The sequence below is a fragment of the Homo sapiens genome, chromosome 6 (assembly GCF_000001405.40).
Source record: "Homo sapiens chromosome 6, GRCh38.p14 Primary Assembly".
Taxonomy (NCBI): Eukaryota; Metazoa; Chordata; class Mammalia; order Primates; family Hominidae; genus Homo; species Homo sapiens.
In genome coordinates, this window is record NC_000006.12 from 11,676,619 (window position 1) to 11,689,365 (window position 12,747).

The following is a 12,747-nucleotide window of genomic DNA, read 5'->3' on the forward strand; positions in this document are numbered from 1 at the left end:
CAATTAATTTGTAGTTTATTAAACAGAAAAAGTAAAGTTCCATAGAGAATTCTTCTCTTAATTATAGAAATGGTACTTCTCTCCCCAGTTAGTTCATGTATCCATTGATGAAATCTGTATTGTTCCAGCATTCATCAATGCTGGAACAATACAGATTTCTGTACTCATTTTTGTCCCTCCCTCACTTTTATAGAAGTAACTGCTGATAAAATATATTCATGATAATAAATAAATGGGAGCAAATGGCATTTGTTTAGAGCAGTTTCCTCCAATTCTATGCATTCCATTCAAGTTAAATACCAAACACTACCTAGTAATTTACTGACAAAATATTTTTAGTGCTGTCTGCCAAAAATTCTATTAAGTTATTTAAATTCATGAAAGTGTCAAAAACCACCTAACATGCAGACAATCTATTGCCCAATTATGAGTTATTCACATTCTTGAATTCTGAGAGGTACACCAGAAAGAGTTTATCAACCCTAATCAAATAACTCTTAAATATACCTGTTGCTCTTTTATTTAAAGGCCCCCTGTGTAGAATGGATTGGTGTCTTAGTTTGGGCTCCCACAAAAAAGCAGACCCCAAGATGAAATCTTGAGTTGAAGAAGTTTACCTGACAGGTGATTCCAGAAGGTACACCTGAGTCAGTGAGGAGAGTGAACCAGAGAGGGAGAAAAACAATGTAAAAGTGAGTTAGTGAGTGGGTTACTACTGTAGGCCACAGAGCCCAGTTCCACCTTCTGAGTATCCTGCAGAATGCACGTCAGAACTGTCCCAATAAAGAATAGAGAAGCGGGGAATTCATCCATGGACTCCCATCTTTTATTACTTTCCCTGGCCCTTCCAGTCTCCCTGTACAAGGCTGAAGACTAGAGAGAGGGCGAATCCTCCTTACGCCAAGAAGCAGAAAGACTTGGGCATTTAAGACTCTAGAAGGTACAGTGAACTCACAGGTGGCTGCTGGGATAGGCAACAGAACAGCAATAGTGTCTCTAACAGCTGGAAATATAGAAAAATACTAATTTTATTATTGACAAAGATATTTATCTTATCAAATGCTGTAAAATATATTTTCATCTAAACCTTGAAACTGCAGATTTATCTCACTTAATTTATCAAAAATATCCTATGTTGGCAAAGCCTATACTTTTGTTAAACCTATCAGCAAAATAAGACCTTTTTTCTTACAGAAACAGTCTAATTTCATTCTTAATTCAAATAAATATGTTAATACAAGATTTAAAAATGCTATCAAGTAATTCTCAAATTTAATTTGCATTTAATATTGAGTAAATGTTAAATATTGCTGGTCGGGCATGGTGGCTCATGCCTGTAATCCCAGAACTTTGGGAAGCCGAGGCGGGAGGATTGCTTGAGCTCAGGCGTTCGAGACCAGCCTGGGCAACACGGTGAAACCCCGTCTCTACAAAAAATACAAAAATTAGCCCAGCATGGTCGTTTGTTCCTGTAGTCCAAGCTACTTGGAGGGCTGAGGTGGGAGGATCGCTTGAGCCCTGGAAGTGGAGGCTGTAGTGAGCCGTGTTCACACCACCATCATACCCCAGCCTAGACAACAGAGAGACTCTGTCTCAAAAAAATAAAATAAAAATAAATTAAATAAATAGTGCTAGAACTACTGATAAATAAATTTTAGAATGCATACTGTAAGGAGATTAAAATAATGTAAATATAATACCATTAATTTATTCACTTTTTCGTAAGTTATAAAAATAAGAAAATCATGATGCTGTTTCTGGGTAATTTATAAATACTTTTAAGCTAAAATTGTAAGTTATGTTTGAAGCGAGGTATATGTATTTCTTTGGTATGTGTGTGTATATACTTATTGTTCGTGTTCTGCTTTGGTGAATAATTAAATTACAACCAAATTTAAATATAATACATAACACCATTCATTTCTAGACCTCAGGATAATGCTTTCCCCAGTATGTAAAAAGGCGAAAACTACCTAATGCTAAAACTCATCAGTCTGGAAGAAAGCACGTAATTTTATTTATTTTTTTGTTCATAGGAATAGAAAGCATTAAGAATTTTATAAGTAAAATTAGATGAAGATAAACTTCAATTAGAATACATGTTTAAAGATGTGCTTTTATAATGTGGATTTTAACTGCTTTATCAAAGTGCACACACCAAATCTGACAGAAATTATGAAAGTATTTTATTTGTGGATTTTATCTAATTTACTCTGGGAAATTTGATAATTCCAGAAGACATTTTAGATGTGTTTAAAAGAATCAGAGTCATCAACATACTCCTTTGGCTAGCCCAAGGTGCTTTTCTTTCCAGCTGACAATACTTTTTAGGCATAAACGTTGAGAAAAGTGAAATAGAATTGCCTACACTTTAACATAGGAAAAACAGCCATAAAGTATTCAAAACATTTCACCGCTGATTTGCTTTCCTAGGCTCTCCTGCCGCCACTGCTAATCGGGTTACAATTTCTGACAGTAGATTGTCATCACCTCCACCTCTCTCTACCATGTATCTGAATATCTCATTTTATCACAAATCTTCACTCTTAACAGAAATATGTGTGGTATAGGAAAGACTAGAAGCCCACAGGCTTTATGGGCCCTAAGTAATCATTAAAGGAAGCATCTCCTTTTTCAGTTATCCAAAGGTTTTTGAACTCAGGAGCAATGCCCTAAAGCAAGATATGGCTGGGTGTGGAAAGGGCTTTTCTGAACATAGGCAGGCTCTTAGGCCAGTCTGTGAAATTCTTTATGCTTAGGAACCCCTTGGATAGTGCAGACGTGAGACTACCAGACTCTTGGATATGCACGTGTTCAGTTTTACTAAATATTAACTATTGCTCTCCAAAATGGTTGTGCAAATTTACACTTCCACCACCCATAAGGTTTCCTATCACGCTAGATCTTTGCCAACTTTTGATGTCATCAGACTTTGAAATTTCTGTCAATTTAGTAGGTAAGAAATATTATTTCATAGGTTTTACTTTATATTTTCTAAATTATTAATGAGTTTTTAGCTTATATGTTTGCTAGCTATTTAAGTTTCTACTGCAGTTAATTACCTCATATCTTTTCCTCATTTTTGGTGTTTTTTAGAAATTAAATTTTGACTTCTTTTATCTATTCTATATGCTAATCCTTTGTTTTATATGTTGTAAAGACTGTCACACAGTATATCACTGTCATATAACTTCAATCATGGAGTTGTCATCATCATGATTATCATCATTTTAATACTAATAATAACAGTTATGTTTACAATGTGCAGGGCCTGTTTTAAGTATCTTATATGTGTTGCCTTATTTAATTCTCACAACAGCTCTAGGAAGCAAGTACTTATACTCCATTTTATACCGACTAAGGTATAGAAAGGAAATTGATCGAGATTGTTCACCTGGTAAATGGCAGAGACAAGATTTGAATCTAGAAACTAATTTCAGAGCACTCATCCTTCATCACTATACTATCTCATATAACTTCATCTTAATACAATATAAAGAGTATTATAATTTTCAAATAACCTTACCTTGGTTTTGTGTAAATGGTATTGCGTTTTATAGTTAAAAGCTATATTCACATCACTTTGATAATTGACATTAAGTTCCCACATGGGTCATGTATTATGCTATACGTGTGGATTTAAAAAAGGACACAGTTTCTGCCTTCAAAAGCTTACAATGTAGGAGGTAAGAGAAACAATTGCAATACCGTGTGATGAACATTTGTAACAGGATTCAGCAAGTGATGCTATGAGAACATTTAGAAAGGTTCCCTAACATACAGTAGCATGTGATTGCCAACACTGGCTCGGCCGGGGAGACCCTAACCCAGTGGTGCTAGAGGAATTAAAAGACACACACACAGAAATATAGAGGCGTGAAGTGGGAAATCAGGGGTCTCACAGCCTTCAGAGCTGAGAGCCCCGAACAGAGATTTACCTACATATTTATTAACAGCAAACCAGTCATTAGTATTGTTTCTATAGATATTAAATTAACTAAAAGTATCCCTTATGGGAAATGAGGGGATGGGCCCAATTAAAGGAATAGGTTGGGCTAGTTAACTGCAGCAGGAACATGCCCTTAAGGCATAAATCGCTCATGCTATTGTTTGTGGCTTAAGAATGCCTTTAAGCAGTTTTCTGCCCTGGGCGGGCCAGGTTTTCCTTGCCCTCATTCCTGTAAACCCACAACCTTCCAACGCTGGCGATAGGGCCATTATGAACGTGTTACAGTGCTGCAGAGATTTTGTTTATGGGGCCAGTTTATGGCCGGATTTTGGGGGTCTTGCTCCCAACATGTGATGATATAGATAACTACATCATATGAATGACTTAACTGAAACTACAGTCAACAAAACTGCCAAATCTTTGTTACATATGCCAACCTTGTCTCCTGTTACTCATTAGTTTGGACCTAAGTGACCTAATTAATCTTCTAGGTCTGCTTGTTGAGATCTTTATGGATTCTGATTTGCCCGTGGAAAGTTTTAGCTAGCCTTTCACCACCATGTCATTTATAACTATAAACTTGCTCAGCACAGTATTGATGGTATCATTCAAGTCACTGGCATCCCCCAGATTGATAAGACTCCTAGGATAGATTTTGCAGACAAGTCCAGGCAACAACCAGGCCACCTATCAGCATTCTCAAGATTGTTCATCCAGTTCCCTATCTGCTTCCAGAACAGAGGAGGGTTGTGGGGATGGGAGGGGGAGTGAGCAGAGGAGGGGGATGGATGGAATAAGGTCATGATAAGCAACTCAGGCAGCAGAGGTGGGGGTGGAGGGCAGTAGTAGTGGTAGCTGTTGCATCTTTGCCTTTTATTTTCTTTTTCATTATTTTCCACCCATAAAAGCTGCATAATCTCTTCCAGAGAAAAATGACTTTTTAAGTTCAGAGGTGAGCTGAAAATGATGAGATACCACTTAAACTGCTGACACCTCCATTTATTCTTCTTTAAAATGGAAAAAGTAAGGCTGCACACTAAATGAAAACATTTAATTCCTTGGTATGTTTTGGAGGGAAGAAAGATTAAGAGATGCCAGAGATTAGTTTTGCTTTTAAATCTTTGTCGTACAGAAGGGGAAAAGTGCATCCAGCAGTAAAGCCACTTGTGACTTCATACCAGGGCAGGTGCAGTGTTATCTGGATTTTTCCTATAATGTCATTCCAGATTGGTTATTTTTAAGCACATGAGCACAAATAGTGATTTCTTGGCTGCTAGTTTTCTATCTCACCTCATTGCTATTTTAGCAATTGTCCTATAAATGGACAGTGCCGTGATCACACAGATGCTGGGAAAGGGAGAGAAAGAGGGCAGAGACAAGCCTGTGGACGACATGATGGGAAGGCAGGCAGGGAGTCTGCCATGAACACTGTTAGCAGGCAGAGGGAGCAGGGAAGCAAACTCAATGAAAATGCCAGCCCCCAGGATAGGCTCTTTGCCATTTGTGGAAGAAGAGTGAGGTTCTTTAAAATTATGCAGTATAAAAACACATAAAAGCTGTCTAATATTTTTACAAACTGGGGGCTTACTTCTCTGCATGATGCTTTCAGTGAATCCATAAAAGATCTAACTATTATCTGTTCACTCCAATCAATGACTGCAGATCCCTTTAGAAAAGGTTTGCAGGAAGGTGTACAGTATGTACTATGCCACAGGTTCCTTCTTTAAGGGGACATGGTCCTCCCTTCAGCCAAAGGGATCTGGATGGGTGAACTGGTTTGGATCTAGAAACCAGGTGAGAGGTCATGGTCATCTATTGTACCATGACTCAAATCAAGTTTTTAGCTCTCAGACTTGGAGTTCCATTATATTGTTCAAGGGTTGGACAAAGAAAGGGTAGTCCCTGGCCAGATCTGGCCTGCCTTCTGTGTTGTAAAACCTATGACCTAAGAATGGCTTTTACATATTTAAATGGTTGGAAAACATCAAAAGGAAAATAGACTTGGTGACAAATGAAAGTTTTATGAGCAATGTCCATAAATAAAATTTTATTGGAACCCAGCCACCTTCCTTTGGTTACTTGTGGTCTATGAATGATTTTACACTACTATGGCAGGGTTGAGCAGATGCATCAGAGACCAGATGTGTCTTCATTGCTTATAAGGTGACACTCAGCATGATGTTAAGGTGATGCAATTATAACGTGATGGCATTTTGAGTGCCATACATATCACTCCATTGCGAAATATTTTTTTTTTACCAGTTCATACAATTATGTCATGACAAAAAAATAATAGTGAACTTTGCATGCATGCCTTTAAGGTACAGTGAAGCATGGATTATTTTGTTATCAAATTAAATGGCAAAGCATTACGTTTATTATGCAATGACACAATAGTTTCCAAGTGGTTCATCTGTTAGCCAAACAAGCGAGGAACGCCGTTTACTAATGGTGGATTCATTAAATTATGCTTGATCATAGCAGCCAAATAAATGAGTCCAGAGAAAATAAACTTGTTCAAGACTATTAGCATTTCAGCAAGAACAGTTGTTTGAAGAGTTCAGAACATTGAAAGTAACACCAATGGTCAAAAAAAAAAAAACAAAGCAGATGATTTCAAGTGGTTTTCTTTGGGTCTTTATGAATTGACAGATGTTTACAATACTGTTCAATTGTTTAATTCAAGGAATCAGTACTTGACTAGTTTGAAGTGACTAAAGAATTAGCCAGTATGAATAGTCTGTGTGGAATAAATGCAGGTAAGCATATGTTAACAGAAGTTAAGAAAATATGAATCTAGTATAACATGAAGTAGAATCTGCTATGATGTGTTACAATTGAGGGTAGTAAAAATATAACTGGAGCAGAAAAAGACTTAGACAAATTTGCAATGCTTGTAAAGATGTAAAAATTTTTAAGCCTATGTTTATTTGTTGTAGTATCTGTTACAGGTATCTTGTGAAAAATACATTAATCTGTTGTGTATTATTAAACCAGTCGTACCAGTGGTGAACTTCATTTACGATTGTAGATTTTACTGTCGGTTCCATGAATTTTTGTCAGAGATAGAAGCTAAACATTAAACATGGCAGTTTTATGGTTTAGCAGTGGTAAAGTTTTATTGCAATAAAAATTTTGAGCTGAGGGATAACACTGAATTTTTTCTGAAAGAGAAGAACTGGTTTAAACCATTATTATCAAACACTGAATAGCTTTGGAAATTAGCCTTTGCTACAGACTAAATAATGTTTATTAATGAATTCAACCTAAAATCATAAGGCAAATGTCACTTATATATGTGAAGCTTAACTATAGTAAAATTACTTTGACAACTAATGTTTGAACTGCAATTAATGTCAAGCTGCTTTATACACTTTCTAATCTGTCAATGGTTAAAACAAGAATGAGATCTCCATTCCCACATAAATTTGCAGTAGATACATTCTCAAGCTCAGACAATGGTTACGGCAATGTTTTTCAGACCTCAATGGAAGTGCAAAGGAAATTTCAGTATTTCGAAACTGATTTAGTTGTACAATTGAGGAACTTCTTGCAATGTAATGACCTGTTAACAGGCAAATATAAGGGAAGAGTCTAGTAAAATTCCATAAATACCTTCTAAGCAATGAATACACTCAAATAAAAATCCATGCTCCTGAATTTCATGTTAATATTTGGTGATGCCTATCTGTATAAAAATGTAGTTTCAAATATTAGATTAAATGTATAAAAGTTCATTAAAGATCAAAATGACAGATGATATTAGCAAACAACTTTAATGATAGAAAACACTAATTTTGAACCTGAATTAAGTGAAATGTTATCCCCCCAAAAAATTCCTTTTCCTCATTAGTATTACAAAAAAAGTACTCAATTAGTAGTATTATATTTTAAGTTTCATCAACAAAAATTTTGTAAAAATTTGTGTTATCTTCTGTAATATAAGTACCTATATAACATCATTAATTTTGCTTCTTGAAGTGAAAAGTCTAAAATATTTACTATCTGTACCTTTACAGGGAGAGTTTGGTAAATCCTGACATAGATTAAGTAACATTTTCATGGGTAGTCCATCTATTTCATTTCCAAGGACACTGTGGTCAGCAATGACCACTGTAAGTCAAAAACTTTCTAATTATCACTTTGTCTCTCCTGTACTTTTCTGTAAATGCATTTCATCTTTCTTTGGTAGTAAAAACTACCAAATGACCTATGTCACTCTGGGATCTCATATTCCCACCAAAATATCAATGTGGAATCCTCACCGTCATTTGAGGCCTACAGATGACAGCCACCATATAGCTAACATGCAAGAATGCTGATGCTCTCTTCACCAGTGAATTTCTCAATTGTGAAGGAAGCATCTTTGGGCCACCTTGGGATGTGGAGAGTAGAGGCAGGGTGTTCAGGGAACACATTATAAATGTGCTTCAACATTGTTGTATTCCTAAGACTCCAGATTCCTTCACATTTTGCCAAGGAAGTTCAGGCATGTCAATCTCATTAAACATAAGCCATGGTTGAGTCAATCTATCAACCAGGCAAACTGCTAGAGCCACATCTAGCTTCACGAGATAAAATATTAAATCCGGGGTTTCTGGTAAGTGCACTCACATCAATAAGTTCAATAAAATCCAGTCCACTTGTTATATTTCATTCTCCTTGGTCTAATACCCTTGGAATAAACTCCCACACATATTTTTTTCAGGATTCTACCACTAAAATTAGCATAATCTTACAACTGTTTTAGCATGTAAGTTATTTCCTCCTGGGTCAGACTTTGTACTTGCCCTTAGGGAACATGCTGAGATCGGGCCCTTATTATGGGTATAGTGAGAAAAGGAATGGTCAGAATGGGTTGATGAGAAGACGTATTTCATGGCAAGGCAACTGCCCCATTATTAAAGTTTATTCAAGAAGCAGAAGGCTGGTCTCTCCAGGTATGTGAGGATAGGCATCTTCTGCTGGCAAAGGAGGTCAGATGACTCAGGGGTTCAGAATTCTGAGCTTGCTATGAATCCATCCTGATGTCATTCTTTCGAGTCTAAGGGTCATTATCTTTTCTAGTTGATACCCAACCTTCACTTGAGAAACTTGAGAGTCTATAAATTCAAATTCAACTTTCAACTCTGAAATCTGTGCAATTAACTTTTGTGTCTTATTTTCAGCAAACAAGAGAAAGAAATGATATTCTTTCAGGACTGGCCTGGAAGCTTCTTAATTATCTATGACTCAAGCTCAGAACTTAAAGAAGCAGGCTTTTTTTTTTCTTTCTTTCTTTTTTCCTTATGCAAGTGCTTTAGGGCATTCAGAGGGAGCCATTCCATACTATCACCCGTGTAGTCATCGTAGCTGCTGCAGTAGTCAAATGCAGAGGACATTTGGTTCTTCCAAGGCTCTTGCTTTAGTAAGCACTTGAAAAGCAACCACAGGTAATAGTTTTATAAACTGTGATGTCACTGCATGCCACTGGTTACTGGAATTCCATTTGCCATTAGCAGGAAGTTCAGCACTGCATTCAAGATGAGGGACCCAGCCAAAGCAAACCCACAATTCCATTGTTGATGTTTGGTCCTACTGATTTGGGTTCTAGACCCCCAAGGAAAGGATAGCCACCTGCTAGTGTTTCTGAGGGGGTATGAATATTGGAAAACTACAACTGGAATCTTCTGCTACTTCCCTAACCATCCCTGCCAAAGTAAAGGAGTGAGGCTGGGCGATGATGACAGCAACGGTACGCAAACAAGAAGAGTGAGTGCCTTCTTCTTCTCCAGCCATCTGGTCTTCCTCCACCCACCACTATTAGAGGAGGCACACCTGGGGCCAGGCACAGTGGCTCATGCCTGTAATCCCAGCACTTTGGGAGGCTGAGGTGGGCGGATCACTTGAGGTCAGGAGTTTGAGACCAGCCTGGCCAACATGGTGAAACTCCATCTCTACCAAAAATACCATCTCTACTAAAAATACAAAAATTAGCCAGGGTTGTTGGTGGGTGCCTGTAATCCCAGCGACTCAGGAGGCTGAGGTGGGAGTACAGGAGATTCGCTTGGACCTGGGAGGCAGAGGTTGCAGTGAGCCAAGATTGCACCACTGCACTCCAGCCTGGGTGCAGTGAGACTCTGTCTCAAAAAAAAAAGAAAAAAGGAAAGAAAAGGAAAGACACACTTGGAGGGAGCTGGTAAAGCAGAAATGGGATTTGCAAAGTCAGCCCCAGAATCACAAAGCCAAGTATAGAAGCATGAGTTTGAGTTTGATACCGAGAGAATAGCTTAATAACTGGCTCACTAATAAAGTGCACTAGGATGAAGTTTTAGCCACTTTTTCATTTAGTACACTTGTAAGACATGGTTAGAGTCTGGGCTGTAATTAAGGATATAGGAGAGGACATATATTTTCCCTTGAAAAGAAAATATTATTGGTTTCCCTATGAAATGTTTCTTTTTAACGTAGTCTCTGTGGAGTCACTCATTTACACTGTGAGCATTATTTATTAGCTCACGGATTTATAGAATACAAGTCAGGATGCACCTTCTAGGTTTATGGTGTTTGCTGCTGGGGGATTCTGTAGAATGGGAAAGAAACCTCATTTAAGCTAAGTTATGTTTTCAGCTGTGCCAGTAGCCAATTTATTTGAAGTTGGCTAGAGTCTTAGTCAATTTTCTTTTGCCACAGTCCATTATTTATCAACAGAGGTCTGTGTTAAAGAGAGAAAGAGATGAAAGAAAGAAAAAGAAAGAGAGAGGAACATACATTTAAAAATATATAAACACTTCATCGCGGCTCCTTGATCCATTTTCACAATCTCCCAGGGATTTGGGGAGAGGGAAGGAAGTGTGAGTCCCTTGCTTTAGGCACTGATTATATAAGGTGAGATTAATTTTCCCACATCGTGTATGGAATCCATCTCCTTGCTTGGCAGTCATAGTTCTGCCTCACTTAAATCTATTTGCATCTAGCTAAGCCCACAGAGGAGGGTGTAGCTTAGAATAGAATTTTGCCTTTCCAATGCTTCTTTGGGAACTTTTCAGGATGATGATAAAGGAAATAATATGGTTAGCTTCAAACGTGCTCATAATTCTTCTGCAACAAAAATTGAAAGCGAGGGGTTGAGAGAAAGGAAGAGACCTGGCTATCTTCTGGGTCATGCTGGAATGCGCTGTTGGTTTTCAAAGTGTGAGGAGTGTTTCAAGATAGTAGGGATCAGGGACAGGCCAAATGGACCCTGTGATGGGGGCCTCTGTTATCCTTCACTGCAGTTAATTAATAGCCTAAGGGAGAAGATAAAGGAGAAGAGAAATGCTTTAGAAAATAAATAAATAAAACGTGGGTACAGGGTCAAGTAGTGCTCTCGCTGTAGAAGGAGATGATTATTGTAATTAGCAGCAATGCATATGGATCGTGCCAATTTGTGAAAGCTGTGAGGGTGTCGTATTTCTTCTATTCTCTCCTCCTACAATCCTCTGCTAACTCGGCTACTCTTGTTAACCTGGTTACTCTGCTGTCTTTGTTTCTTCTCTTTCTCTCTCTCTCTCTCTGTGTGTGTGTGTGTGTGTGTGTGTGTGTGTGTGTGTGTGTATGTGCGTACGTCTGTAGGTAGCTAGATACATGGCTGTGGTAAGTAGTTCTACAGCAGGCAAATATCCCAAAACAGTCGAAAGGGCCAATGTTCTTAGTTGAATGCGACTCAAAATGCAACCAAGTCCATGGTTGCCTGTGATTAATATGAACTAACCCCCTCCCACTTGAGGATGAGAGAGGAGGATTGTGTTGCCTTAATATTCACAATTGTCCATTATCTCGCATATCAAAGAATGACTGAATTTTAAAGCTGGAAGGGCTTTAGAAATCACATTTTCTAACTTCTTATTTTTAAACATGAGAAAGCTGAGGCACGATAGGCTGAATTATGTCTCTGAAGTAACACAGCTGGAGGAAAGCTGGGCCAGGATTGGAAAACAAAGGTTTGCCAGTAACTTTATTGCTGCTTCTTACATGTGATGTACACATGAATAGAAGAGGGTAAATACAATATGTATGCATAGTGTAATATGTAAATACATTCAGCTATATTTGAATATGACATTTTTTAAAAAACTGCTCTTTCTACTTTTTTATGTACAGACATGGGTTCAAAGATCTATTAAGCTTTAACGCATACATTCTTAGATAAAAAATTTGTTATTTGTTGAATATCAAACTATATCCTTGATAACGTCCCTCCTTTTATCTTTCTATATTCTGCCTTTCAAAAGCTTCTATGAGAACTTTTCAGGATAATGATAAAGGAAGTAATGAGGTTAGCTTGACATATGCTTAAGTTCTCTTTGATAACCCTGTCTAAGGAAAGGTTCCTCGGGAGACAGAATGGTCTCTGAACTACGAAGAGAAGAACAGGAAGCAAAGGATACACAGACAGGGGTAGAGGTAACAAGAGAAAACTGCAGGACCTGGGCGCTGATCGCTAAGTTCCTGCTTGGTCTCTTTTGGAGACCTTTGCTACTTTGTATATTCACCTTTAAAACTTTCTCTGGGTTGCTTCTTTTAAAAAGAGCAGTCTCTTCAAAACAAGACATACAGACAGCCAACAATCATATGAAAAAAAGCTCAACATCCCTGATCATTAGACAAAAGCAAATCAAAAACCACAATGAGATACCATCTCACACCAATCAGAATGGTCATTATTAAAAAGTCAAAAAATAATAGATGCTGGCGAGGTTGCGGAGAAAAGAGAACGCTTATACACTGCTGGCGAGAGTATAAATTGCTTCAACCATTGTGGAAGACAGTGTGGTGAT